The sequence below is a fragment of the Homo sapiens genome, chromosome 12, assembly GCF_000001405.40.
Source record: "Homo sapiens chromosome 12, GRCh38.p14 Primary Assembly".
Classification (NCBI taxonomy): domain Eukaryota; kingdom Metazoa; phylum Chordata; class Mammalia; order Primates; family Hominidae; genus Homo; species Homo sapiens.
In genome coordinates this window covers 10,887,944-10,913,229 of record NC_000012.12, presented here as the reverse complement: position 1 = coordinate 10,913,229, position 25,286 = coordinate 10,887,944, and the positions used below count along the sequence as shown (strand labels likewise).

At 36.4% G+C, this 25,286-nt stretch overlaps 2 protein-coding genes, 1 long non-coding RNA gene and 1 pseudogene across 4 annotated transcripts in view, besides 1 other annotated feature; all 4 read left to right on the top strand.

Annotated features, from left to right (window-relative positions):
- Nucleotides 1-25,286, top strand: part of PRH1-PRR4 (PRH1-PRR4 readthrough) — a 325,777-nt gene that overhangs the window by 258,396 nt on the left and 42,095 nt on the right. The gene's annotated exons all lie outside the window — the stretch shown is intronic.
- The window catches only part of PRH1 (proline rich protein HaeIII subfamily 1), a 290,647-nt gene that overhangs the window by 258,382 nt on the left and 6,979 nt on the right, over nt 1-25,286 (top strand). The gene's annotated exons all lie outside the window — the stretch shown is intronic.
- TAS2R13 (taste 2 receptor member 13) lies at nt 3,668-5,304 on the top strand. The gene has a single exon (NM_023920.2). It carries the CDS (start codon nt 3,932-3,934, stop codon nt 4,841-4,843), a length of 912 nt encoding a protein of 303 aa, NP_076409.1. The 5' UTR covers nt 3,668-3,931; the 3' UTR covers nt 4,844-5,304.
- Nucleotides 11,486-11,780: an enhancer, noted in NCBI's record as "tiled region #13514; K562 Activating DNase matched - State 13:Ctcf". NCBI's record gives its function as "activates a minimal TATA promoter and a strong SV40 promoter by Sharpr-MPRA in K562 cells {active_cell/tissue: K562}" and the evidence as "EXISTENCE:reporter gene assay evidence [ECO:0000049][PMID:27701403]".
- On the top strand, nt 17,349-18,296 carry TAS2R12P (taste 2 receptor member 12, pseudogene; annotated as a pseudogene).

Genomic DNA, 25,286 nt, shown 5'->3' with positions numbered 1-25,286 from the left:
CACCCGCCTCGGCCTCCCAAAGTGCTGGGATTTCAGGCGTGAGGCTAAATAGATTTTAAGGAAAAAGACATTAGAATAGATAATGTCACCTCATGTGAGTAGAGGTTATATTTGCCATGAAGATACTACAATTCTAACGCTCTATGCACTCATCAGCATGGCATCAAAATATGTAAAGTAAAAGTTGACAGGACTTCTAAAAGACATAGATAAACCTATACTCATAGCAGGATAGTTTAACATTAAATCTCAAGAAATAATAGAATAAAAAGACAAAACTCAGAAAAGGTAAATAGGATTTAAATAACATGATTACAAATAGATCTAGTGGATGTATGAAACACTGCACCCCAAAGCTACAGGATACACATTATTTTCAGCAAACACAAAACATTTATCAAAATTGACCATATATGCATAACATAAATTTTAGCAGAGAAAATTTTATGTAAATGGAAACTCGAACATATATTTTAAAAATAGTCTATGGTGGAAGAAAAATCACAATAAATTTAGAAAATATTTAAAATTAAGTATAATAAAATATAGTAAAACCTTGTGAGAAATGCTGAAAAATTCTAAGAGGAAAACGTATGCCAGGAATATAACAGCAAACATACTCAACGGAAGTAAAAATAATTAAATAACAATATAAGAGATGAAATTAATGAAAAATAATACATCTGAAAAGATCGACCAAGACAGACTTGAATAGACTAACAAAATAGGCAAACTTCTGGTAAGATAAATCATGAAAAGAAAAGCAAATAATATGAAGAATTTAAAGGATATATTCTGTTGGTATTAAAAATTTAATAAGATGATATTATAATCAAAATTACATGAAAACATAAATAATTGAAACTGACAAATATCTAGAAAGTCGTAACTGCCAAAACAAGACCAGAAGAAATAGGCAACGGAATGGTTCCAGATCAAGATCATAGAAATGTATGCTCATGTACTCAATAATAAGTTACATGTTAAAGAATGTTCGTAGCATCATCATCATCATAGTCTCCAAACTCAAAATAAACCAACTTTGTGTTTCCACTAGACTAGATAAATTTTGAATTGTCATTCCATTAATACTATACAGCAATTGAATAAATGATCTATCTCTATATGCAACATGATTAATTTTAGAAACATAATATTGATCAAAAATAGTTAAATTCAAAAATATTGTGTACAGTATTATTCCATTCATGTGCAATCCAAAACCAGGCAAAACCAAGCTAGTGCTTAGGGATACATATTCAAATTAAAATATACAAAGTTAAACAATAACGTGATTTGAATTGCAGATAGTTGTTACTTCTGGAATGAAGATAGGGGTTGTGATTAGAAAGGAGCAAATAAGGTGTTATGGGGTTTACAAAGTTCTCTTTCTTGCCATGGGAGGCTTTTAAATTAGTGTGCACTTTATACTATAGCATTTAAACTTCATTAAATGTTCTATATTTGTTATATGTAACAATAATAGGCAGCAAAAATGAAAAAGAGAAAAGAAATATTTCTAAACAAATGATATGAGGTTAGCTAAATCTTAATACCAAATTCTCATAGGCACAATATGAGAAATGAAAATTAAATGTCAATATTCCTTAAAAACATAGCTGCAAATATCCTAACACAACGTTGGCAAACTGCATCCATCAGTGACTTAAAAAATACTTTACATACTCAAACCTTTCATTGTTTCCTCTTCCTGCCCTTTGCCTCATTTTCCTTTTCAGTTCAGACTGCTGAAAAAGTTTTTCTGTGATGCTCCCTAGCATCTATTCTCTTTCTCTTATAGAAGTGAGAGACTACATCTCTTTGATTAAATTTATATTTTTAAATGTTTTCTCTTATGGAAACACACCAGGAAAATGCAGCTCAGAACCGCAAGCCTGTTATCCATTCTCTATGTCTTTGTCATGTGTTATATCACAAGTTCTAAAAACTGTGGTATTTTTTCATATACCAGCAAGTACAGTACCATTCCTCAGGCCTATTTGTACAGATTTGGGGTATTATCAAGTTGTGACCGGCATCCCCAAACCCTTTTCTCTAGATAGGTAGGAAGAACACCCTAAAATGAAAAAGTATAAAAGATCTCTTCAGCCCTGGGTCAAGAATGCAAATGGAAGACCACATGCCACATAGCTACATATTTAAAGGTCATAAATATACAAACCTAACAAACTGTTAAAGGAGACATTTTCTATTCTATCTTGACAAATATACCATTATAACAACAAAATAGAAAATATCTACCTATTTTAAGTTATAATTGAAACTTGCAAATCATTAAAGATGATGCAATTATTTTGTAAATTTTTTAGTACTCTGTAGATCACCCAATAAAGATTGCATGAGTAATAAAATACAAACATTCATAATTCACAAATTATATCTTTATTAAATAAAAATAGCTTTGTATTCATCTAGCTAAATGGCTACTTATTATCTTATAATCAAGATAAAGTGTTTTATTTATATTAATTTTGAATTAGACAATCTTTCTTGAGTCTCCACGTTTTCAGAATTTTGGTAATCCACTTTTTTTCGGTAGTTTTTGAAAGAGTGGGGCGGGGTGAGGAACCTTGACTCTTCACAATGAACACATTAGTCCCCGCTTATCTGCAGTTTCAGTGACCCAAGGTCAACCACAGTCCAAAAATAGGTGTGTACAGTACAGTAAGGTATCTTGAGAGAGTGAGAGACACCACACTATATATTTTAACACATTTTTTTACTTTTTATTTTTTTAATTTTTATTTATTTTAGATACAGGGTCTCCCTATGTTGCCCAGGCCGGTCTCAAACTTTTGGGCTCGAGCGGTCCTCCCGCCTCAATCTCCCAAATTGCTAGGATTACAGGGATGAGCCACAACCCCTGGCAACTTTTATTATAGTATATTGTTTTAATTGTTCTATTTTATTATTAGTTATTTTTGTAATCTTTTACTGTGCTTGATTTACAAATTAAACTTTATCATAGGTAGGTGAATACAGGAAAAAAATATATTGTATATAGAGTTTGGTACTATCTGCTGTTTTAGGCATCCACTGGGGGTCTTGGGACATAGGCCTCATGGATAAGGGGAACTAGTGTATCTATTTCTTTGCTTGGTTTTCAGTTTTGCAAGTTATGATGTAATATAGTACTGCTTTCTTTGGTAGCTGTTGCTGATTTTGTAAAATTTGTTTTTTTATCACTTTTAAGTTTAAAAAAGAAATATGAGGGGAAAAGCGGATAAAATGTGAAGGCATTTGGTGCCTATGGAGGGATGGTGGTGAGCACTGCTAAGTAGTGATGAGGCAGGGAATGAGAAAGATGGATGCTTTGTAAACGAGTTTCTCTTTAGTCACAGTATTGACCAGATCCAGCTTTAGCTCCACAAGAAATTGAGCACTCTTTTGAAATAGCATAGGTAAGTCTTTGCATATTTTATAAAGCTTCATTGGCTATGCTATTAGCCATAAAAGCTTCATTTAGCTACATATTCTATGAATCAGATTTTTATAATATTTGTACCTCAGAACTCAAGCTGGTTGAATCTAATTTTCTATGCTCAGACAAGGCAAAAAAGTACAAAACAATGAAAGAGAATATATCTTTATTTGCATGGTTGCAAATGTGAGTTTAACTTTGCTGCATAATCATCTATGAAATATTTCTGCCCATGGTGAAGACATAAATATCTTAGCTAGGGCTCAGCAGAGAAATTGAAGAAAAATAAAGATATCACCAGAACAGTTATGTGAAGATCGATCAGCAAACTTTAGAGATTTCTGCTTTGACGTTGAGCCAACAATGAAAGAAGGAGCAGAAAAAGGAGAAGGAAGAAGAACTCCACTGGACACTCAAGGATGTGAATAGCATTTTAGATCAGTGAATAACCAGCAGTGACATTAGACATTGAACTTTCTCTGTTCTGACATGGAAAGTGCCCTGCCGAGTATCTTCACTCTTGTAATAATTGCAGAATTCATAATTGGGAATTTGAGCAATGGATTTATAGTACTGATCAACTGCATTGACTGGGTCAGTAAAAGAGAGCTGTCCTCAGTCGATAAACTCCTCATTATCTTGGCAATCTCCAGAATTGGGCTGATCTGGGAAATATTAGTAAGTTGGTTTTTAGCTCTGCATTATCTAGCCATATTTGTGTCTGGAACAGGATTAAGAATTATGATTTTTAGCTGGATAGTTTCTAATCACTTCAATCTCTGGCTTGCTACAATCTTCAGCATCTTTTATTTGCTCAAAATAGCGAGTTTCTCTAGCCCTGCTTTTCTCTATTTGAAGTGGAGAGTAAACAAAGTGATTCTGATGATACTGCTAGGAACCTTGGTCTTCTTATTTTTAAATCTGATACAAATAAACATGCATATAAAAGACTGGCTGGACCGATATGAAAGAAACACAACTTGGAATTTCAGTATGAGTGACTTTGAAACATTTTCAGTGTCGGTCAAATTCACTATGACTATGTTCAGTCTAACACCATTTACTGTGGCCTTCATCTCTTTTCTCCTGTTAATTTTCTCCCTGCAGAAACATCTCCAGAAAATGCAACTCAATTACAAAGGACACAGAGACCCCAGGACCAAGGTCCATACAAATGCCTTGAAAATTGTGATCTCATTCCTTTTATTCTATGCTAGTTTCTTTCTATGTGTTCTCATATCATGGATTTCTGAGCTGTATCAGAACACAGTGATCTACATGCTTTGTGAGACGATTGGAGTCTTCTCTCCTTCAAGCCACTCCTTTCTTCTGATTCTAGGAAACGCTAAGTTAAGACAGGCCTTTCTTTTGGTGGCAGCTAAGGTATGGGCTAAACGATGAGAAACTCACAATTTCATAAGCCATTCAGACCACAGATTATTGAATATTGCAGACAGAAACAGGAGTCTACAAGGAGTTTAAAAGATATTTTATGCTTCCCCTGGTTTCTTTTATTGTGAAGGTCACTGTAAATGTTTTAAATTCTTCTCTATAATAGCATCTTACCTAAGAATATTATGTATTTATGACATGTATTTCTACATTATTAGGAATTTGAAACTTATTTGAGGAAATTATTGGCAGATTCTATTGTAAATTAAAAACATATACTACAGCATACTTAGATGTTAATTGTAAATCTACAATCTTTTGTTTGGCAATGGCTCTTCAATTCTAAATCATTCATTGAGATGGGTGATTTAGGTAATTATTTTATTATCTCAAGTACTCCTATTTAAATGGTGAGCTACAGATAATTAGAACAGTTATTTGGAATAGAATTAGGGAAGTTTGGACTTGCCACTATTACTATACTGATGTGTTGAGAGAATTGAGAGGGTTAAAAAGTTTAATATGAGTAACTGCCACATAAAAAGATAACGGTTTTTTAGTAATTATATTGTATGTATGTGTACATACATATTTTACATTATGCCTTTTAAAGTAAATATTATTGAGGTATAATTTACATATAATAAAATGCAACATGTTAGTCCACATTTCAGTTAGAGTTTTGACAATGTATACACTTGTGTGACCACAATGTCAGTGCCCTTTGCAGTTTACCCTCTCCCCTCCAGCCCTTTTTCCCAAGCAACTACTTATCTGCTTTTGGTAACAATAAGAGAGTTTTTGATTTCTAGAATTTTATGCATCTATATATCTATAGATATAGATATATAGATGCCATATATACACACACACACACACACATACAGTTATAGAGTGTGTATTGTTATATGTGAGGCTTCTTTAACTCAGCATAATGTTTTTGAAGTTCTTCTGTTTTGTTGTATTAATCAGTAGTTTGTTCCTGAGCAGTGTTCCTGAGTAGTGTTGGATATACCACATTAAAAAATTTCTCTTTCCTGTTAATGAACATTCAAATGGTTTTCAATTATTGGCCATTATAAATAAAACTGATATCAACATTCATGTATTTCTCTTCTTCTGGATATACAATTTCCTCACTCTTGAGTAAATACCTATGAGTAAAAATGTCAAATCATATGATAAGTGTATGTTTAACTTAAGAAAAAACTGCCAGAGTTCTATAGAGTGGTTGCACCATTTCATACTATTGCCAGCAATATACGAGTGTTTCAGTTATTTCACATTCTGGCCAACAGTTGGTAGGTACTCTGTTTTGTTTTCTATTTTGGCCATTCTAGTCAGAATGTAATGGCATCTCATCATAGTTTTAATTCACATTTTCCTAATGGCTAGTGAGGCTGATGATTTTTTCATATGCTTTGGGTCATTCATACAACCTCTTTTTATGAAATGTTTGTTTAAACCTTTTGCCAACTACTTAGCTTGATTCATTGCTTTCTGTTTTTATTACTGAGTTGTAAATGTTCTTTATATAGTCTCTGTATTAGTCCATTTTCATGCTGCTGATAAAGACATACTCAAGACTGGGTAACTTATAAAGAAAAAGAGGTTTAATTGACTGACAGTTCCACATGGCTGGAAAGGCCTCACAATAATGGCAGAGACAAAAGTCACGTCTTACATGGTGGCAGTGAAGAGAGAATGACAGCCAAGCGAAAGGGGAAACCCCTTATAAAAACATCAAGTTTCATGAGACTTATTCACTACCATGAGAACAGTATGGGGGAAACCACCCCCATCATTCAATTATCTCCCACTGAGTCCCTCCCATAACACATGGGAATTATGGGAGCTACAATTCAAGATGAGATTTGGGTGGGGACACAGCCAGACCATATCATTCTGAATATAAGTTCTTTATCAGACATATGTTTTATAAATATTTTCTGCCAGCCAGAGGCTTGTCATTTCATTTTCTTTACAGTGTCTTTCAAAGAGAGGACATTAAAAACTTTTAATGAAGTTCAATAATCAACTATTTTCCTGTAAGAAAATTATTTTTAACTTTTTTTGCTTTCAAAACTCAAAGATATTTTATGGAACAGTTGGAATAAATATTTGCAATAAGGCACAGTTATCCTTGAGTATAAGGACAGAAAGCCTAATTTCATTTTCTCTGCTGTCAGAACAGGTTCTTTGGTGATACCACATGCATTTTTAGTAACCTGTTTCAATAGTACTATCTACTTGAGCATTCTCATTTTCTCTCTTTTATTTTCTTTTTAGAAAGGACCTCCCAAATGGGTTTGCTTAAAAGTTAGGTAAGTGAGAGGAGTAGTATGATCATTTTTATCATTAATTTCTCTGAACTCTCTTGTAGTTTATTTACCCAATAGCATCTTTCAATATCTGTCAGTATTTTCACCTCTGCACTCATATGGTCCCCACAAAAAACACTATAATAGTTAAGGACTGAGTCTGGAGTCAGAGGTACAATTCTCAATTCTATCACTTAGTAGTGTTAGTTAAAATTGTATAGTTCCTATTTATAAGTGAAACATGCAGTATTTGGTTTTCTGTTTCTGCATTAATTCACTCAGGACAATGGCCTTTAGCTGCATCCGTGCTGCTGCAAAGGACATGATTTCATTTTTTTTTAATGGCTACATAGTATTCTATGGTCTATATATACCACACTTTTTTGGTCTAATCCATTTTTTTTTCTTTGAGACAGAATCTTACTCTGTTTCTCAGGCTGAAGTGCAGTGACATGATCTCAGCTCACTGCTGCCTCCACCTCCCAGGTTCAAGCGATTCTTCTGCCTCAGCCTCCCAAGTAGCTGGGATTACAGGCAGGTGCCAGGACGCCCGGCTAATTTTTGTATTTTTAGTAGAGACAGAGTTTCACCATGTTGGCCAGGCTGGTCTTGAACTGCTGACCACAGGTATCTGCCCACCTTGACCTCCCAAAGTGCTGGGATTACAGGCATGAGCCACTGTGCCTGGCCTGTAATCCATTGTTGATGGGCACGTAGGTTGATTCCCATGCCTTTGCTATTGTGAATAGTGTTCCAATGAAATTGTGAGAGTACATGTGTCTTTCTGGTAGAATGATTTATTTTCTTGTGAACAGAGTGAGAGGACAACAGAGTGAAACTCTGTCTCAAAAAAAAAAAAATGGATTAGACCAAAAAAGTGTGGCGTGCATACACCATACTGAGTAATGGGATGACTAGGTTGAATGGTAGTTTATTTTAAGTTCTTTGAGAAATCTCCAAACTGCTTTCTACAGTGGCTGACGTAATTTGCATGCCCACCAACAGGGTACAAGCGTTCCCATTGCTCCACAGCTTCACTAGCATCTGTTTTTTTTTTTTTAACTTTTTGATAGTAGCTATTCTGACTGGTGTGAGATGGTATCTCTTTGTGGTTTTGATTTGCGTGTCTCTAATGATTAGTGATGTTGAGCCTTTTAAAATATTTGTTGGCTGCTCGTATGTCTTCTTTTGAAAAGTGCCTGTTCATGTCTTTTGCTCGTTTTTAAAGGGGTTATTTGTTTTCTGCTTGTTCAATTGTTTCCATTCCTTATAGATTTGGGATATTAGACCCTTGTTGCATGCATAGTTTGCAAATCTTACATTCTATAGGTTGTCTGTTTACTCTGTTGATAGTTTATACAATGTGTGCAGAAATTCTTTAGTTTAATTAGGTCCCACTTGTCAATTTTTGTTTTTTGTTGCAATTGCTTTTGGGGACTTAGTCATAAATTCTTTCCCAAGGCCAATGTTTAGAATGGTGTTTCCTAAGTTTTCTTCCAGGATTATTGTAGTATAAAGTCTTACATTTAAATTTTTGACCCATCCTGAGTTAATTTTTGTATATGGTGAAAGGTAAAGGTTCAGTTTAATTATTTTGCTTATGGCTAGCCAGATATCCCAGCACCATTTACTGAATACAGAGTCCTTTCCCCATTGTTTATTTTTGTCAGTTTTGTCAAACATCAGATGGCTGTAGTTGTGTGTCTTTATTTCTGGGTTCTCTATTCTGTTCCATTGGTCTATGTGTCTGTTTTTATAATATTACCATGCTGTTTTGGTTACTGTAGCTTTATAGTATAGTTTGAAGTCAGGTAATGTGATTCCTCTGGCTTTTTTCTTTTTGCTTAGGGTTGCTTTTGCTATTTGGGCTCTTTTTTTGGTTTTATATGAATTTTAAAATAGTTTTTTTTTTCTAGTTCTGTGCAAAATGACATTGGTAGCTTGATAGGAATAGAGTTGAATCTGTAAATTGCTTTGGGCCGTACAACCATTTTAACAATATTCATTCTTCCTATCCATGAGCATGGAATACTTTTCCATTTGTTTGTGTCATCTATGATTTCTTTCAGCAGTGTTTCACAGTTCTCTTTCACCTCCTTGGTTAGCTGTAGTCCTAGTTGTTTTTTTTTTTTTTTTTTTTTTTGAGGCTATTGTAAATGGGATTGCATTCTTGATTTGGCTCTCAGCTTGAAGATTTTTATTGTATAGAAATGCTACTGATTTTTGTGAATTGATTTGTATCCTGAAACTTTACAGAAGTCCTTTATCTGTGCCAGGAGCCTTTTGGCAGAGTCTTTAGGGTTTTGTATGTATGGATTCACATCAGCAAAGAGATATAGTTTGACTATGGCTTTTATTTTTCTATTTGGATGCCTTTTTTTTTCTTGCCTGATTGTCCTGGCTAGGACTTTCAATACTATGTTGAATAGGAGTGATGGGAGTGGGGACCCTTTTCTTGTTCCAGTTCTCAAGGGGAATGCTTTCAGTTTTTGCATGTTCAGTGTAATGTTAGCTGTAGTTTTGTCATAGATGGCTCTTATTATTTTGAGGTATGTTCCTTCAATGCCTAATTATTTGAGCGTTTTTTCAAGAGTCCAGAATTTCCTTGTTAGTTTTCTGCCTCAATGATCTGTCCAATCTTCTCAGTGGGGTGTTGAAGTCCCCCAATATTATTGAGTGGGTATCTAAATCTTTTTATAGGTTTGGAGGTACTTGTTTCATGAATCTTGGTGCTCCAATGCTGAGTGCATGTATATTTGGGGCAGTTAAGTCTTCTTGTTGAATTGAACACTTTATTATTATGTAGTGCCTTTCTGTGTCATTTTTTTACTGTTGTTGGTTTAAAATCTGTTTTATCTTATATAGGAATAGTGATTCTTTCTTTTTTTCTTTTCTATTTGTGTTACAGATCCTTCTACAACCCTTTACTTTGAGCCTAACAGTAACATTACATGTGAGATGGGTCTCTTGAAGACAGCAGACCGATGACTTTTGTTTTTTATTGAATTTGTCACTCTGTGACTTTTAAGTGAGGGTATTTAGACCATTTACATTCAAGGCTAATATTGCTATGTGAGGTTTTGATTCTATTTTGAAGTTGTTAGCTGGGTGCTTTGTAGTTTCTATTGTGTGGTTTCTTTATAGGGTCTTGGGCTATGTGCTTAGGTGTGCTATTTTGGTAGCAGATTTTCATGTTTAGAACTCCCTTAAGGATCTCTTGTAAGACTGGTCCAGTGGTAATAAATTCCTTTACCCTTTGCTTGTCTATAAAAGATTTTATTTCTCCTTCAGTTATAAAGGTTAGTTTGATGGAATATACAATTATTGGTTGGAAAATTTTCTTTCCTTTAAGAATGCTGAAAGTAGGCCTCCAATCTCTCCTGGCTTGTAAGGTTTCTGCTGAGCTATATACTTGGCCTTATGGGGTTCCCTTTGTATGTGATCTGATCTTTTTCTCTAGCTGCCTTTAAGATTTTTTTCTTTAGTGTAGACCTTGGATAGTCTGGCGACTATATGCTTTGGTGATGTTCATTTCCTATAGCATCAGTCAGGTGTCCTCTTGATTTCTTGTATCTGTATGTCTACCTCTCTAGCAAGATTAGGGAAATTTTCTTAAATTATTTCCTCAAATATGTTTTCCAGGTTATTAACTATTTCTCCTTCTTTCTCAGGAATGCCAGCAGTTTATGAGTTTGGTTGCTTCACATAATCCCATATTGCTCTAAGACTGTATTCATATTTTTAAATTATTTTTAATTTTTTTTTCTGGGTTAGTTCAAAAGACCAGTTTTCAAGGTCTGAAACTCTTCTGCTTGGTCCAGTCTATGAGAGATTGTACTTTATATGAATTCAATTGTACTTTATAATTCCTTAAGTAAGTTTCTCAATTCCAGAAGCTCTGATTGATTTCTTTGTAAGATGTTTATGTCTTCCTTCATTTCCTGGATTGCTTTAGAAATCTCTCTGTATTCATTTTCAGCCTTGTCTTGCATCTCATTGAGCTTCCTTGCAATCTATACTTTGAATTTTTTATCTGTCATATCTGAGCTTTTGTTTTGGTTAGGGACCATTGCTGGAGAGGTACTGTGCTCCTTTGATGGTGTTGATTTCATTACATTCACTTTTTTTATGGTGGTAGAATTCTTGTTCTCTTTCCTCCTCCTCTGGCAATACTGGCACTTCTAATTTTTGTAATTATTTCCATAAGGTAGGATTTTTTTCTTTATTTCCCTATAATATTATTGTTCTTTTTTCTTTCCCTTTCCATTCCCCCTCCCTCCTTAGGAGGTATGACTTTAGAGAATTCTGGGTAGGTCTTTTGCCCAGCTTCTATAGCCTTATGCACTTACAGGTTGCAGGTTTTATATTAGACTGTGCGGTTCAACCTACAAGCCAGTAGATGGCACTTATAGGTAAGAGCCAGTTTTGGACAATGTGATGGTTATATATTTGATCCTTGTTTACTGGAAGAAACTCTCTGTTGCTGCAGATAATGGTCTGACTCATGGAGTACACAGTGGTGTGAACTCCCTGCTCAGCCTTGGGGGTTGTGGGGAGCAAGGTGGGTGGGGCCAGACAAGGCAGGTCCACCTATAGGTCTTCCAATGGCAGACACAAGCACCAACACTGAGGGAGAATCTACTGAGTGGCTACCAAGTGACCAGAGTTCTGTCTAGGGGTGGAGCTAGGTAACCCCCTCGGCTCCAAGTTCTTTGCACAGGGATATTGGAGAGATTGGCCTAAACTCTTAATCCAGGAGAGTGGGGGCTCTGAATACCTGGAAATCTGCCTGCTTGTGGAGCAGAACCCACCCCCACCAACCAAGATTTCTGCACAGGGTAAATGGGGTGACTCAGGCTTCTTAACTAGGCAGGCAGGTGCTCTTAATGCTTGGATATTTGCCTGGGCATAAAACAGAGAGGATCAGCCCAGTACATGGATCTGTGAACGGGAAGGGTGAGGCAGCACAGGTTGCCAGTCTGTGTGAGCAGGTGCTTTGAATGCTAGGGTATGCAGCAGAGAGGACCTCCCTGCATCAAAATCTCTGCACAGGAAGGGTAGGGGAGGATAGGCTGCTGAGCCAGGTGAATGGGTGCTTCAGATATCTAGAGTTCTGCCTGGCTGTGGAGCAGAGAGGGCCCCATTGCACCATGACCTACGTCAAGGAAGGTTAGGTGGTTCAGGGTGCTGAACCTTGCTAGCAGGTGCTCCAAAATCCTGGGATCTGCCTAGGCATGAAGCAGAGAGGGCCTCCCTATTCTAGGATCTCTGCACAAGAAGGGTGGAGCAGATGAAGCTGCTGAACCAGGTGAATGAGTGATCCAAATGCCCAGATTTCTGCCTAGAGGTAGAGTGGAGGAGAGTCTGCTGCACCACAATCACAGGGGAACAGGGTGGGGTACCCAGCAATGACACACACAGACTAGTTCCAAGTAGCTAAGCTGCCTGGTTGCAAGTCTCATCACATAGGATAAACTGGCTGTAGCAGCTCCCCTCCTGCCCCAGGCCTGTGATGGGGGATAGCACAGTTTCAGTGTTTGCTGCTAAGGTTTTTTTTCCCCACAATTCTGGCCATGGAGGTCCCCACCCTGCTCTAAAGCAGGTGCTCCAATATCTGGCCCAAGACTAAAATGCCTGCACAGCTACGCTGCTTAGTTACCAAAGAATGATTGACTTTGTGGCATCTGAATTAAAAATGGTATCCTGCTCTCAGTCCTGGGTCTGAGAAAAGGCCTGAACCTTTTCCCAGTGTCTTTCCCTTACAATGTCTCTAAGCCTTTCTCCAAGTTATCTCCAGGGCTTTGGAGAAACAAGGTACTCTTCCCTCTGAGCACTGGGTTGCTCAGATCCCCAGTGGAAAGGTGAGTCACAGAGGGAGGCTCTCTGCCTCTCTCACCTACTGGAGCTTCATTCACTTTTTTAACTGGGTGCCATCATGGGGGCTGTTTGCCCATGTTCCCCTCCCTGGGATCTGTGTGTCCTTATGATTCTGGTAGATTCCCACTTTCCTTCTTGAAATAAAGCTCACAGAGTTAACCTTTATGAGACTTTGTTGAAAAATTTATGTAGGTTGGTATTTTTTTCTTCTTAAATATGTGATGAAAATAAACATTCAGGTCATCCCTTGCTTTGTGTGAAAGTTTTAAATTAAGAATTCAATTTTTAAAAATAGACACTAAGATTTTCTATTTCTTTGTGTGCCTGATTCAGTAATTTCTTTCAGGGAATTTGTCCATTTTATCTAATTTAATTCACTGAAATAATTTTATAAATATTATTCCTCAATTTCTTGGTCTGTTTGTGTTGGTATAAAGGAATACCTGAAGCTGAGTAATTTATAAATAAAAGAGGTTTATTTAGTTCATGGTTCCGCAGGCTGTACAAGAAGCATGGCATTAGCATCTGCTTAGTTTCTGCTGAGAGCTTTTGTGCTGGGTCAAACCATGGTGGAGAAGGTCAAAGCAGAAGCGGGCACATGTGAAGAGAGAATAAACCAAAGGGGCATCCTGGCTTTATAACAATTCACTCTCATGAAAAACAACTCATTCCCCTAGAACAAATTCAGTCTTGTGAGAGTGAGAACTCACTCACTACATTGAAAATGGTACCAAGGCATTCATGAGGGAACCAACCCTATGACTCAAACACTTCTCACTAAGCTCAACCTCCCAACACCACTACTTTGGGGATCAAATCCCAATATGAGTTCTGATGGGGACAAACAAACCGTGTACAAACCATAGCATTCTGACTTGGTCCCCTGAAAACTCGTGTCCTTCTCACATAAAAAAAAATGTAATCTTTCCATCCCAACAATAGTCCCCCAATTCTTAACACGTTGCTGCATCAATTCAAATGTCTGAAGTCCAAAGTCTCATTTGAGACTGGAAGTCAAGTTCCTTCCAGCTATGAGCCTGTGAAATAAAAAACAATTTATTTCCTTCCAAGATACAGTTGTTGTACAGGCATTGGATAGACATTCTCATTCCAAAAGGGAGAAATCAGCCACAAGAGAGGAGCAGTAGGCACCACGCAAGTACAAAACACAGCAGGGCAGGCGTTAAATATTAACGTTCTAAAATAATCTCTTTTGACTGTATGTGCTGCCTTCTGGGCACATGCCTCTTCTTTCTGAGACTTCACTCTTAGTGGTCTCACTCTCTCATCTCCGCAACAGTCACACTGCTTTCCTTGTTCTTCCTCAGACACACTAGGTACATCCAATGTTAGCACACTGATAATGCTGTTCCGTGTGTCTGGAATGTACTTTACCCAGACAAAACATGGATAATTTCTTTACCTACTTTAGGTCTTTGTTCAGACATCACCTTCTCAATGAGTCCTTCCCTAAGCACCTTATTTAAAATTTCAACCCCTCTTCTGACATGCTTTCTATTGACCCTCTCTACTTATATTTGCAACTTCTTATAAACTATATTTTATATCTGTATGATATATATTTTATTAGTTATATGTTTAGAGTTCATCTTTTCAGAATGTCAACTTATTAAGGGCATTTAAAAATAGTTGTATTTAATGCTTCATCCCACCTCCTAGAGGGCTGGAACAAAGAAGATATTCAATAAGACAAATAAAATAACCCTTTTTCAGCATATAATATTTTCCTGAATTTCCCTTTGTTTATTTCAGTTTCAGTTTTGTTTGCATTTCATGTTTGCCTATCACAATTAGCCTTTCTTTTAGTCATGGAGTTTTCTTTGTGAATTTACCTAGGGTGTATCTTTTGGTGGGCTGTCCAACTCATTCATTTCTTTGACTCCTCTTAGGCCTATATTATATCTCCATTGGTTTTGAATGTCACTAAATTTTGGACTAGCTACTTTGGGAGGGAAATGCAGCAGTTGCATTACACAAAGAACATGACTAATTGGCCTTTCCTGGTTTGACCTCATCAGAATTAAGATTAAGTTCAGCTCAACGTATGAAAAAATTATAGAAAATTTATACAAGTTCCCCTTACACTGAGGAAAATAAAGATGCTATGGATACCTTTATTTGGGATAGAAGAGAAAAACAGACATGGAAATTAGAAATGACAAAATATTGATACCATTCATATGCTAAATAATTCTATTCTGATGCTCTATTGCTGCATAATAAAATCACCCAGAAACTTCATGGTGTAAAATAACAGCCATTTTATTGTGCTTGTTGATATGGTTTGAATTTCTGTCCTCGCCCAAATCTCATATTGAATTGTAACCCCTAATGTTGGAGGTGGGGCCTGGTGGGAGGTGATTGGATTATGGGGGGCAGTTTCCCCCTTGGTGGTGGTGTGGCAATAGTGAGTGAGTGAGTTATCACAAGATTTGGTTGTTTGAAAGTGTAAGGCACCTCCCCCATCTTTCTCTTCCTCCTGCTCCAACCATGTGAAGATGTATCTGATTTCCCCATTGCCTTCCGCCATCTTTATACATTTCCTGAGGCCTCCCCAGAAACAGATGCCGCCATGCTTCCTGTACAGCCTGTGAAGCCATGAGCCAATTAAACCTCTTACAGAAACCCAGTTTCAGGTGTTTCTTTATAGCAATGCAAGAATAGACTAATTCACTTAAAGATTCTGTAGGTTAGGGTTTTGTTCAAGACATAGCAGGGATGGCTTCTTTTTGTTCCAGAATGTCTAAGCCTTTAGCCAGAAAGTTATGAACAACTGGGGGCAATTCAAGTGACCAGGGGCTGAACTTATCTAAGGCGGAGCTGAGAAATACATAGAAATGTCAATGATAGGCAATGATAGAAATATCCCCTATGTATGTTGGCTATAAAATAGTCACACGTGGCTAGTGAGCATTTGAAATATGGTTAGTAATACTGAGGCTCTGTACTTTTAATCTTATTTAATTTTTATTAATGTGAATTTAAAAAGCCACGTGTGACATGTGGCTAGTATCTACCGTATCAGACAGGTCAAATATCGCTTTCTTGGCTCATAGGTTTAGTACCTGGGGTAAAAGGACGTAAAAGCTGGGCTCACGTGGGATAATGAGCCAGAGGGCCTGCACATGGCCTCTGCATGTGGGTTTGGACATTGTGACCTCAGAGTAGTTGGACTACTTACATGTGGCTTAGGACTCCAAGAGTAAATATTGCAGTGATTAAGAAAAAACTGCATGGCTTTTCATGATTTAGCTTTAGAATTATTATAGCATTTTTATTAGTTGAATTAGTCACAAACCATTCTAGATTTAAGGACAGAGTACACAGACTCCTAAGATATCAATAGAAGAAGTGCCAAAGTATGTATCGTATGTTTTAAAACTTGCATACTCTCTCTCTCTTTTTTTTTTTTTTTTGAGACGGATCTCACTCTGTCACCCAGGCTGGAGTGCAGTAGTGTGATCTCGGCTCACTGCAACATCTGCCTCCTGGGTTCAAGCGATTCTCCTGCCTCAGCCTCCCGAGTAACTGGGATTACAGGAGCATGCCACCAAGCCCAGCTAATTTTTGTATTTTTAGTAGAGACAGGGTTTCACCATGTTGGCCAGGCTGGTCTCGAACTCCTGACCTCAGGTGATCCACCTGCCTTGGCCTTCCAAAGTGCTGGGATTACAGGCGTGAGCCACCGTGCCTGGCCAAAAACTTCCATACTCTCTAAAAGATTTGGTATTATATCAGAGAGCAGTTTTCTCCATTTTCTTAAACTTTGCATATTTTATAAATAATCTGCATTAGTGAGGTTGATAATGAAGAAATATGCTGATCATAAACTCTAAATATATACTGCATTTTTCTATATGGGGGCTTAGAATTTCTAGCCCAGGGTGGTAGATGAATCAAAGGGATACATCATACAAATGAATAACCTTTAAGCAAAAGATGGCATTGTAAAACTATAAAGGAGAATCTACTTCAATTTTGCATGTTAACAAATGAGGGTTCAAATTTGAATGCAGAACTTTCCATGTAAAATACAACCAGAGTCAATAGTAGCAGGGAATATAATATTTGCCTTGAAAATCACTAGCTGATACCCTCAAGGGAAAAAAACTTGTATATTTTACAATTTAGTTGAAATCTAATTTTAGAACACACCTTGGATCTCTCCAGACTACACCAATGGCCATCAATAAAACAGAAAGAAGTCACTCCTTTGGATATATAAATCTATAACAGTGCAGCTAGGATCAATCAGCCAATGGTGTATTGAAGGCAGAGATTCACTATGTAGAGGCATGTCAAGCATTTGGGAGACACTGTTTATAAGAATTCTTGTAGTGTAATTCATAATGGGGACTGTGGGAAATTGATTCATTGTATTGGTTAATATCATTGACTGAATCAGGAACTGAAAGGTCTCCCTGATTGATTTTATTCTCAACTGCTTGGCCATCTCCAGGATATGTTTCCTGTAGATAACAATTTTAGCTACCTCTTTCAATATAGGCTATGAGAAAATGCCTGATTCTAAGAATCTTGCAGTAAGTTTTGACATTCTCTGGACAGGATCCAGCTATTTCTGCCTGTCCTGTACCACTTGCCTCAGTGTCTTCTATTTCCTCAAGGTAGCCAACTTCTCCAATCCCATTTTCCTCTGGATGAAATGGAAAATTCACAAGGTGCTTCTCTTTATTGTACTAGAGGCAACGATCTCTTTCTGCACAACTTCCATTCTGAAGGAAATAATAATTAATAGTTTAATCTAAGAACGGGTAACAATAAAAGGCAACTTGACATTTAATTATATGGATACCATGCATGATTTCACTTCTCTGTTTCTCCTTCAGATGATGTTCATCCTTCCTTTTGTGGAAACACTGGCTTCCATTCTTCTCTTAATCCTCTCCTTATGGAGCCACACCAGGCAGATGAAGCTACATGGTATTTATTCCAGGGATCCCAGCACAGAAGCCCATGTAAAACCTATAAAAGCTATAATTTCATTTCTACTCCTCTTTATTGTGCATTATTTCATCAGTATCATACTAACATTGGCCTGTCCTCTTCTAGACTTCGTTGCGGCAAGGACTTTTAGTAGTGTGCTGGTATTTTTCCATCCATCTGGCCATTCATTTCTTCTAATTTTACGGGACAGCAAACTGAAGCAAGCTTCTCTCTGTGTCCTGAAGAAGATGAAGTATGCCAAAAAGGACATAATCTCTCATTTTTATAAACATGCCTGATATGAGTGATGATATTCTCAGAAAGAAAAAAAGGAAGAAGAACAGGAGGGCTACACATTTGTTTCTTTCACCTACCTCTTATTTTCTCATTATGTTCTATGATATATTGAGCATTATTGAAAATACTTGCTGATTTAAATTAAGCAGAACAGATTGCTACCTTGTTTGCACCATATATGGAGATTATGTATTTAATAGTAAAATTCTAATATATTGAAAATGCATTTTTCATTAGGCACTGTGATCAATATAATAGATTACTCTATCTTTAAATTTTATTAATATGTTGCATAAGCATTAGAATAGAATAGAAATACATCAAGAATTATAATATCTATGTATGTGTATAGAGTGTATATAAAATCAGATTTATATGTACAAACACATAGGGATTTAGTTCCTATCCTAAAAATGATGATCAATTGATAATTTAAAACTAGAAAGGAAAACTCAAATGAAAATAGTTAGTAGAGTCTACAGCTTAGTGAAAACTTTGAGGATATGAAACAAAGTCAATTGAAATGTACATCACTAAGAGTTATTTCCAAATATAAGCCCTATTCTGTTAATATTTTCAGTCATTTTCAGTTAAAAACACTAAGCAACTTTGACCATCAAAAATGTTACAATCTTGACCATCTACAACAGACTTGTACTGTAGAATCTGAATCTTTGGACTAACAATAAAATTTTACTCAATTGGTTAACTGTGTAAGGAAGGCAAGGACACGTATTAAAAAATCAGTAAGATTTTAAGTAAGCAAAATTGGAGGACTGCTGCTGGCATCTAGTGTAGAGTTACCAGGTTTAGTAAATAAAAATATAGAAGACCAAGACGATAGTAACAAATACAGGATCTCATTTGATGAAAGTCACTGTGTAAAGAAAGAAAAATAAATAAAGTTTTGAAAAGAAAAACAAATCAGGGATAACCAATCAGTTTACAGAATTGAATTTAATAAGAACGTCTCCTCTTAAAAATGTAATGAGAAAGCATGTAAAAATAGCAGGTTAAATAAAAGAACACAATCGCAAGTTTAAGGTAACAGTAATAAATATTTAAAATGAAATAATTGGAAGCAGATTTTGAAGAACAATTACGTTCTCTCTAAGAAAAAAAAGAACATATTGCAAGCAAATAATATAATTTTCAGCAGTAAAGACAAAAGACAAATTTTCAACATTGCAGAAAGTATTTTAAAAAGTTAATTATATGGTAATCGATAGAACAAAAAGTAAACCCTAGAAAAATAACCTGGACATTGCAGGCCTAAAACGAAATTTTAAATGTGTGAATAAAATTAAAATATCCAGAGAATAGACCACGAGATTTCCATGTGCAAAGGATGAAATCCCTTTAGGACAGTGGTTCTCCACACAGGGCAATTTTGCCCCCCTAGGGGACATTTAATAATGCCTGGAGACATTTCAGTTAAAATTGGACGGATGCTGCTGGCATCTATTGTAATGTTAACAGATTAAGCAAATAAAAATATAGGAGGCCTAGTTAAATTTACATTTCAGACAAAAGAAAAAACAACAAGAATAAATTTATAAATAAGTATTACTTGTGATAACCATAATATGAGTTTACATCATAATGTAAGTGTGCTATGGAGGACCAATTACAGACCTGCAGCATTGATAATTGGATACACAGACAATGACAATTATTTGTTGCTTATTTGAAATTCAAATTGAACTGACACACTCTGTATTTTACCTGATAACTGTACGAGGACAAGGATGCTGCTCAATATCTCACAATGCACATGACAGTCCCTCACAACAGAATTATCCAGCATAAAATGTAAATTGTTCTAAAGTTAAAAATCATGCTTTGTGAAGATGTAATAATGAAAAGCACAAATTCCATAATAGCAATTAGGACTGAAAAAATAAAATCAGTTATTGATATAAGATTTCACACACACCAGCTGCCTTCCTTATCTCTGAAATGTCCAGCTTACCATACTTAGGCTCTGATTTCTGCACATACATCCCCAGTTCACACTTGCTTACAAGCAGGCCTTACTTTGAGACAGGAATGATTTGGGCTGCTTTAGTCCTTCACCAATTGCTGATTAATGAGCTGTGATGGCTTCCAGTTAAAATAATTTGTGGGTGAAAAATTCACAAAATATACTTCATTTTTAAAAATTAGAGTATAGAAATTCTCAAAGCTGTGTTCTTGTTTATAGGGTACTGTGAATTCCTAAGCCCCATAATTCTGTAGATAGCTTGTTTATGGCAGTCTTCTATTTACCTCCATAACAATTTTAGATTTTACTTCTTTTTCTTCCTCCTATCATGATATGGGATATTCTGATAATGATTTTAGCAATTTTGCTAAGTGATAATCACAGACTTAATTTGAATCATAAAATGACATACCCCTTATGAAATAAGATTATTCACTTTCAATCCTTTCTAACTGCTCCAGTGCTCTCAAAGGGTAGTGTCATCCCTGATGTCACAGTTCTCCTGTCCCCCTTACCTCTGGACTCATCTCTTAATCTAAAATAAAAACAAATTGTATGCAAAAGAAAGAAACATTTTTTAAAAAAGTTACTTCTGATGGATTTAGTTCTGTCCAGGAAGAAAATAGATGATATATTCAGAATACTCTACAATCTTTGGCAACTGTGTAACCTTGATCTTGGGAATGGATGTTGGGAAAAAAATTCTCCATGAATGTATTGCACTTCTGCATGGTCTAGCTCTTATCTTGTGAGCAAACAGTATGTTTGATGAGCAAACAGAAGGGCCTCAACTAGGATCAGGTGAGCAAGGCATGCAGGGTGCAAAGTTTGAGGAGCCACTTGGTTTTAGGGCCCTGCAACCTATTGAATGCCTTTTTACGTTTTGTGCCCTAGGAGTCTCGTTCACTTTGCCCAAGACCAGGTCATGGCAAAGAGCCTTGGGATTTAGAAATAGGGTATCCCTCTTGGTCAGAAGGCAGATTTGTTTAAAGATAAAGACTCTTCTCTTCTTCTTCTTCTCTCCAGAGATATTTGCTTACATTCCAGTGTAAAGCTTCTTCTTCAGAAGGCAAGATGGACAGGTTACTCACAGTGATCAAAGTTTTTAAGACTGGAGTTTCCTAATTTTGAGATTTCTCTTTTGATAGACACCACTACTTGCACATGTAACATCAGTTTCTCATCTTATCCCTGTGAGGGGACTGAAGCTTGAAGAAATAGTACGATGATATTCCTCTGACTACTGCTAGTACTTCAGTGAATAATAAACCATCTTTTGCCTTCTGCAAGTACAACAAGTGACAAGCTAAGTTGTTAGCTTATAATAATTTTGGCAACGAGGATGGAACACAGCCCAAAGACCTGGCCTTCTGAGGAGAAAGTGAAGGATCCTACAAGCTGATTAATAGGATTTGCTGAAAGTCCATGGGAACTGGTAGCTAACATGTTGACTAAAATGTTTGTAATTGGTAAATAAATATTCTTCTATTATGTTGCTCATTAATGAGGAGGATTGGGAAGTGGTTGAAAATTGAGTACCACTGGTAGAACTGAAACAGACTTCCAAATGACACTTTTAGATTTAGCTGTCTTCTCCAGATAACATTAGGTAGACAGATTAAAGATCTCCCAAAGTTGTTACAGGCCTTTGGTGGAAAGGTGAAAAGATTAAGGATCTCCCAAAGTTGTTACATTCAGATGCTTATTCAGTTAACCACCGAGTAGTGGCAATAATGCTTATTTGAAAGTAAATGTGTCTTGCATACTGGCCTGAAGACACTTTCTCTATATTTCCCTGATAACTTCTTTACCTCTATTCTGATGTCAATTGCTTTAGGGATTCGGGCTGGGCCTGAGATCTTCCTGACCCAAGGGACACCAAAGACCCTACAGAACCATCCCAACATATTGCAAAGCTTCAAGGAGAGTAGGGACTCAAATTAGTATAGCCCTGTTGGATATATGTGCACAAATCACCATTCTACTTGGTTCTGGGGGTTGGGGGAAGGGGTGCTGAGGGATGGAGGACAATAGCATGTGAGGAAATACAAAAGAGACCCTACTGGGAGGTGCACTAGAAAGAAGGGCAAGAAGCCAAGAGGAAAAAAAAAAAGCCAACCCTCCCCTCCCCTCCCATCCCCTCCTCTTTCCTTCCCTTCTTTTCCTCCCACCTCAGCCACCCAAATGACTAGGACAACAGGCACACACCATCATGCCTGGATAATTTTTTAGTGTTTTGTAAAGACAGAGGAGTCTCACTATGTCACCCAGGCTGGTCTAGAACTCCTGGCCTTAAGCAGTCCTCCCACCTCTGCCTCTCCAAGTACTGATATTACAGGCATGAGCCACTGCACCGGGGAGGCCTACAGTCGTTCTTTATAGTTTACCCTCTTTTTTCCTGCATTCTATAAATACTCAAATAGAAGATAGCAGGGCCTTCTGGCTACTGTGACAGCCTCTAACAAGCAGGTTTAGAAAGAAAAAGGAAAAAGAAGTGCCTGAGTTCAACTGATGAGGATTGAACAAACAGTGCACACACACACACACAAACACACACACACACACACCAAAGTTAGGAAGACTTTGTGGATAGGGCCCTTTGGACCCATTCGATGCACTGCTTTTTATTGTCTTTATATCTGTATGTATGGTGTGATATTAAATACTTAAAATATTATCTCATAAGTGCCAGAGAGATTGACCCAGGGAAAACCACCAAAAATGTTAGTGGGACAAACTCCCTGGCCATTTGAGCCAGTTGGTGGAGCATAATTTACCATGAGTGCCTTCACCCTCCAATGTCCGAACCTACCCTTATTGGGCTTTTTGTGTATTGCAAAAAGAGAAAATCCCTCTGTGCAAGATAAAACAGAAAATTACTCAATGTACTCAAAACAACTCACAAAAAATCGACCATTTCTCAAGGAATGAAACAATCAAGAAATTACAACCTTGAAATTACTTAGATATTAAAATGACCAAAGACTTTACAGGAGCTGTTGTACCCATCCTTCATGAGGTCAAGGTAGACACTCAAAATGAATGGAAAGGAAAAACTTGTCAGCAGAAAAATAGGAATTATAAATTATAAATTAAGAAAACAGATATTTTAGAAATGAAAAATATAATGTCTTAAAAAACCTTTATTGGGCATGATAAATAGCATAAAGAAAATGATGGAGGAAAGACAGTGTTCTTGAGGTTGGATCAATAGAAATTATATACTCTAAACAATACAGGGTAAAATAATTGAAAAAATTATACATCATATCATGAATATGAAAGGCTATAACAAATGATGTACTATTCATGCATTCTGAGTTTCAGAAAAGCAGAAGAGGTTGATGTTGAAAAAGGACTCAGAGAAATAATGATCAAAAATTTTCCAAACACAGCAAAGAGCATAAACCTACAGATTCAAGAAGCTGAGCAAATCCCAACCAGAATACAACCAATGAAATCCATTCCAGGAAAATTCATTGTCCAATTTCTGAAAATTAAAGACAAAATATTGAAAGCAGAAAGAAGGAAATGACATCATAGTTATAGGGAAAATGCAATATAAATAATAGTGGTTATTATCACCAGAAACCAGAAATAACAGTAGAAAGGAGCACAAATATTTAAAGTGCTCAAAAGTAGAAATGGTCTACCAGATGTTTATGTTCAATAAAAATATCCTTCATTAATGTAAAGGAAATCCAGGCATTCTAAGAAAAAAAGAAAAGCTAGAAACCTAGGAGAATTTCTTTCCAACAAACCTATCTTTAAATAATAGCCAAATGAAGTTCTCTAAACATAAAGGAAAGAATAGAAGAGAAATTTGTGGAACATCAAGAATGAAGTAAAAATAAGAGAAAGGGGGAAAGTGGGCAAACACAATATATCTTCCTTTTTCACTTGAGTTTTCTTCATATGTTTTAACCAGCCATTGCTAGCATTGAAGATGGAAGAGAGACAGGAAATGTGGAAAAATGACATTCTTCTCTAGAGCCTCTAGGAGGAAACTCAGCCTTGACACATGGATTTAACTCAGTGAACCTCAGTTCAGATTTCTGACCTACAAAACTGAAAAATAATAAATTCATTTTGACCTAAAAATTATAAAGGGATGTAAGGTTTCCATACTTCACTAAAACTGGTAAAAAGTGTACACCACTAGATTATAAGCTATGTACATGTAAAGTAAAACATAGAAGAATCACTAAAAACACTGTTCAGAGAGATACACTCAAAAATTATACGGATCAACTAAAATAGAATTATAAAACACTTTCAGTGGCCCCATAGGAGATCAGGAAAAAGAAAACAATCAAAAGTAGTATAAATAAAAAACAAAAAATATGACAGCTCTAAAATATCAAAAAATGCATTAAGTGTCAATGGTTATTGAAAGTAAATTTTTGCCATCTCAGTTTGTGATTTACGCTTTTGCATAGATATATACTTTAAGTCACAAATATTTGTATAACAACTAATTATACATAAACTCATTCATATTCTCATGCAAATATCTGGAAGAAGCCTGGGTGAGTCTCTCCAACTCTCACTGAGCCAAACCAGGTCTAGATGGGTAAGGTGTCCATCCTGTGTGTTCTATGAAGATTAACAGTCTCCCAAAGTCACACACTTCCTAATTCTCAGACAAGTGAATATATTAACTTACATGACAAAGGGAAATTACATTTGCGAATCAATTGACCTGAATTTAGAAAGGTTATCCTGGATTATCTAGGTGGACTCAATGTAACCATAAGGTCATTAACTGCAGAAGAGGGAGGCAGAAGAGTCAGTGCAAGGGCGACGTGATGCTATGTGATGGGAGGCTCAAGTGGCTATTGCTGGCATTGAAGATGGAAGAAGGCCAAGGAATGTGGACAAAAAATGGGTGCTTCTCTAGAGACTCCAGAAAGGGACTCAGCCTTGACAGGTGGATCTAACTGAGTAAGACCTATTATACATACTATGCTTCTCTAGTTTGCCACAATTACTTAATTTCCTGTAATTT

Bases quoted from the DNA above. Each gene is read 5' to 3' on its own strand.
- TAS2R13 (NM_023920.2), top strand. From the start codon at position 3,932: ATGGAAAGTGCCCTGCCGAGTATCTTCACTCTTGTAATAATTGCAGAA.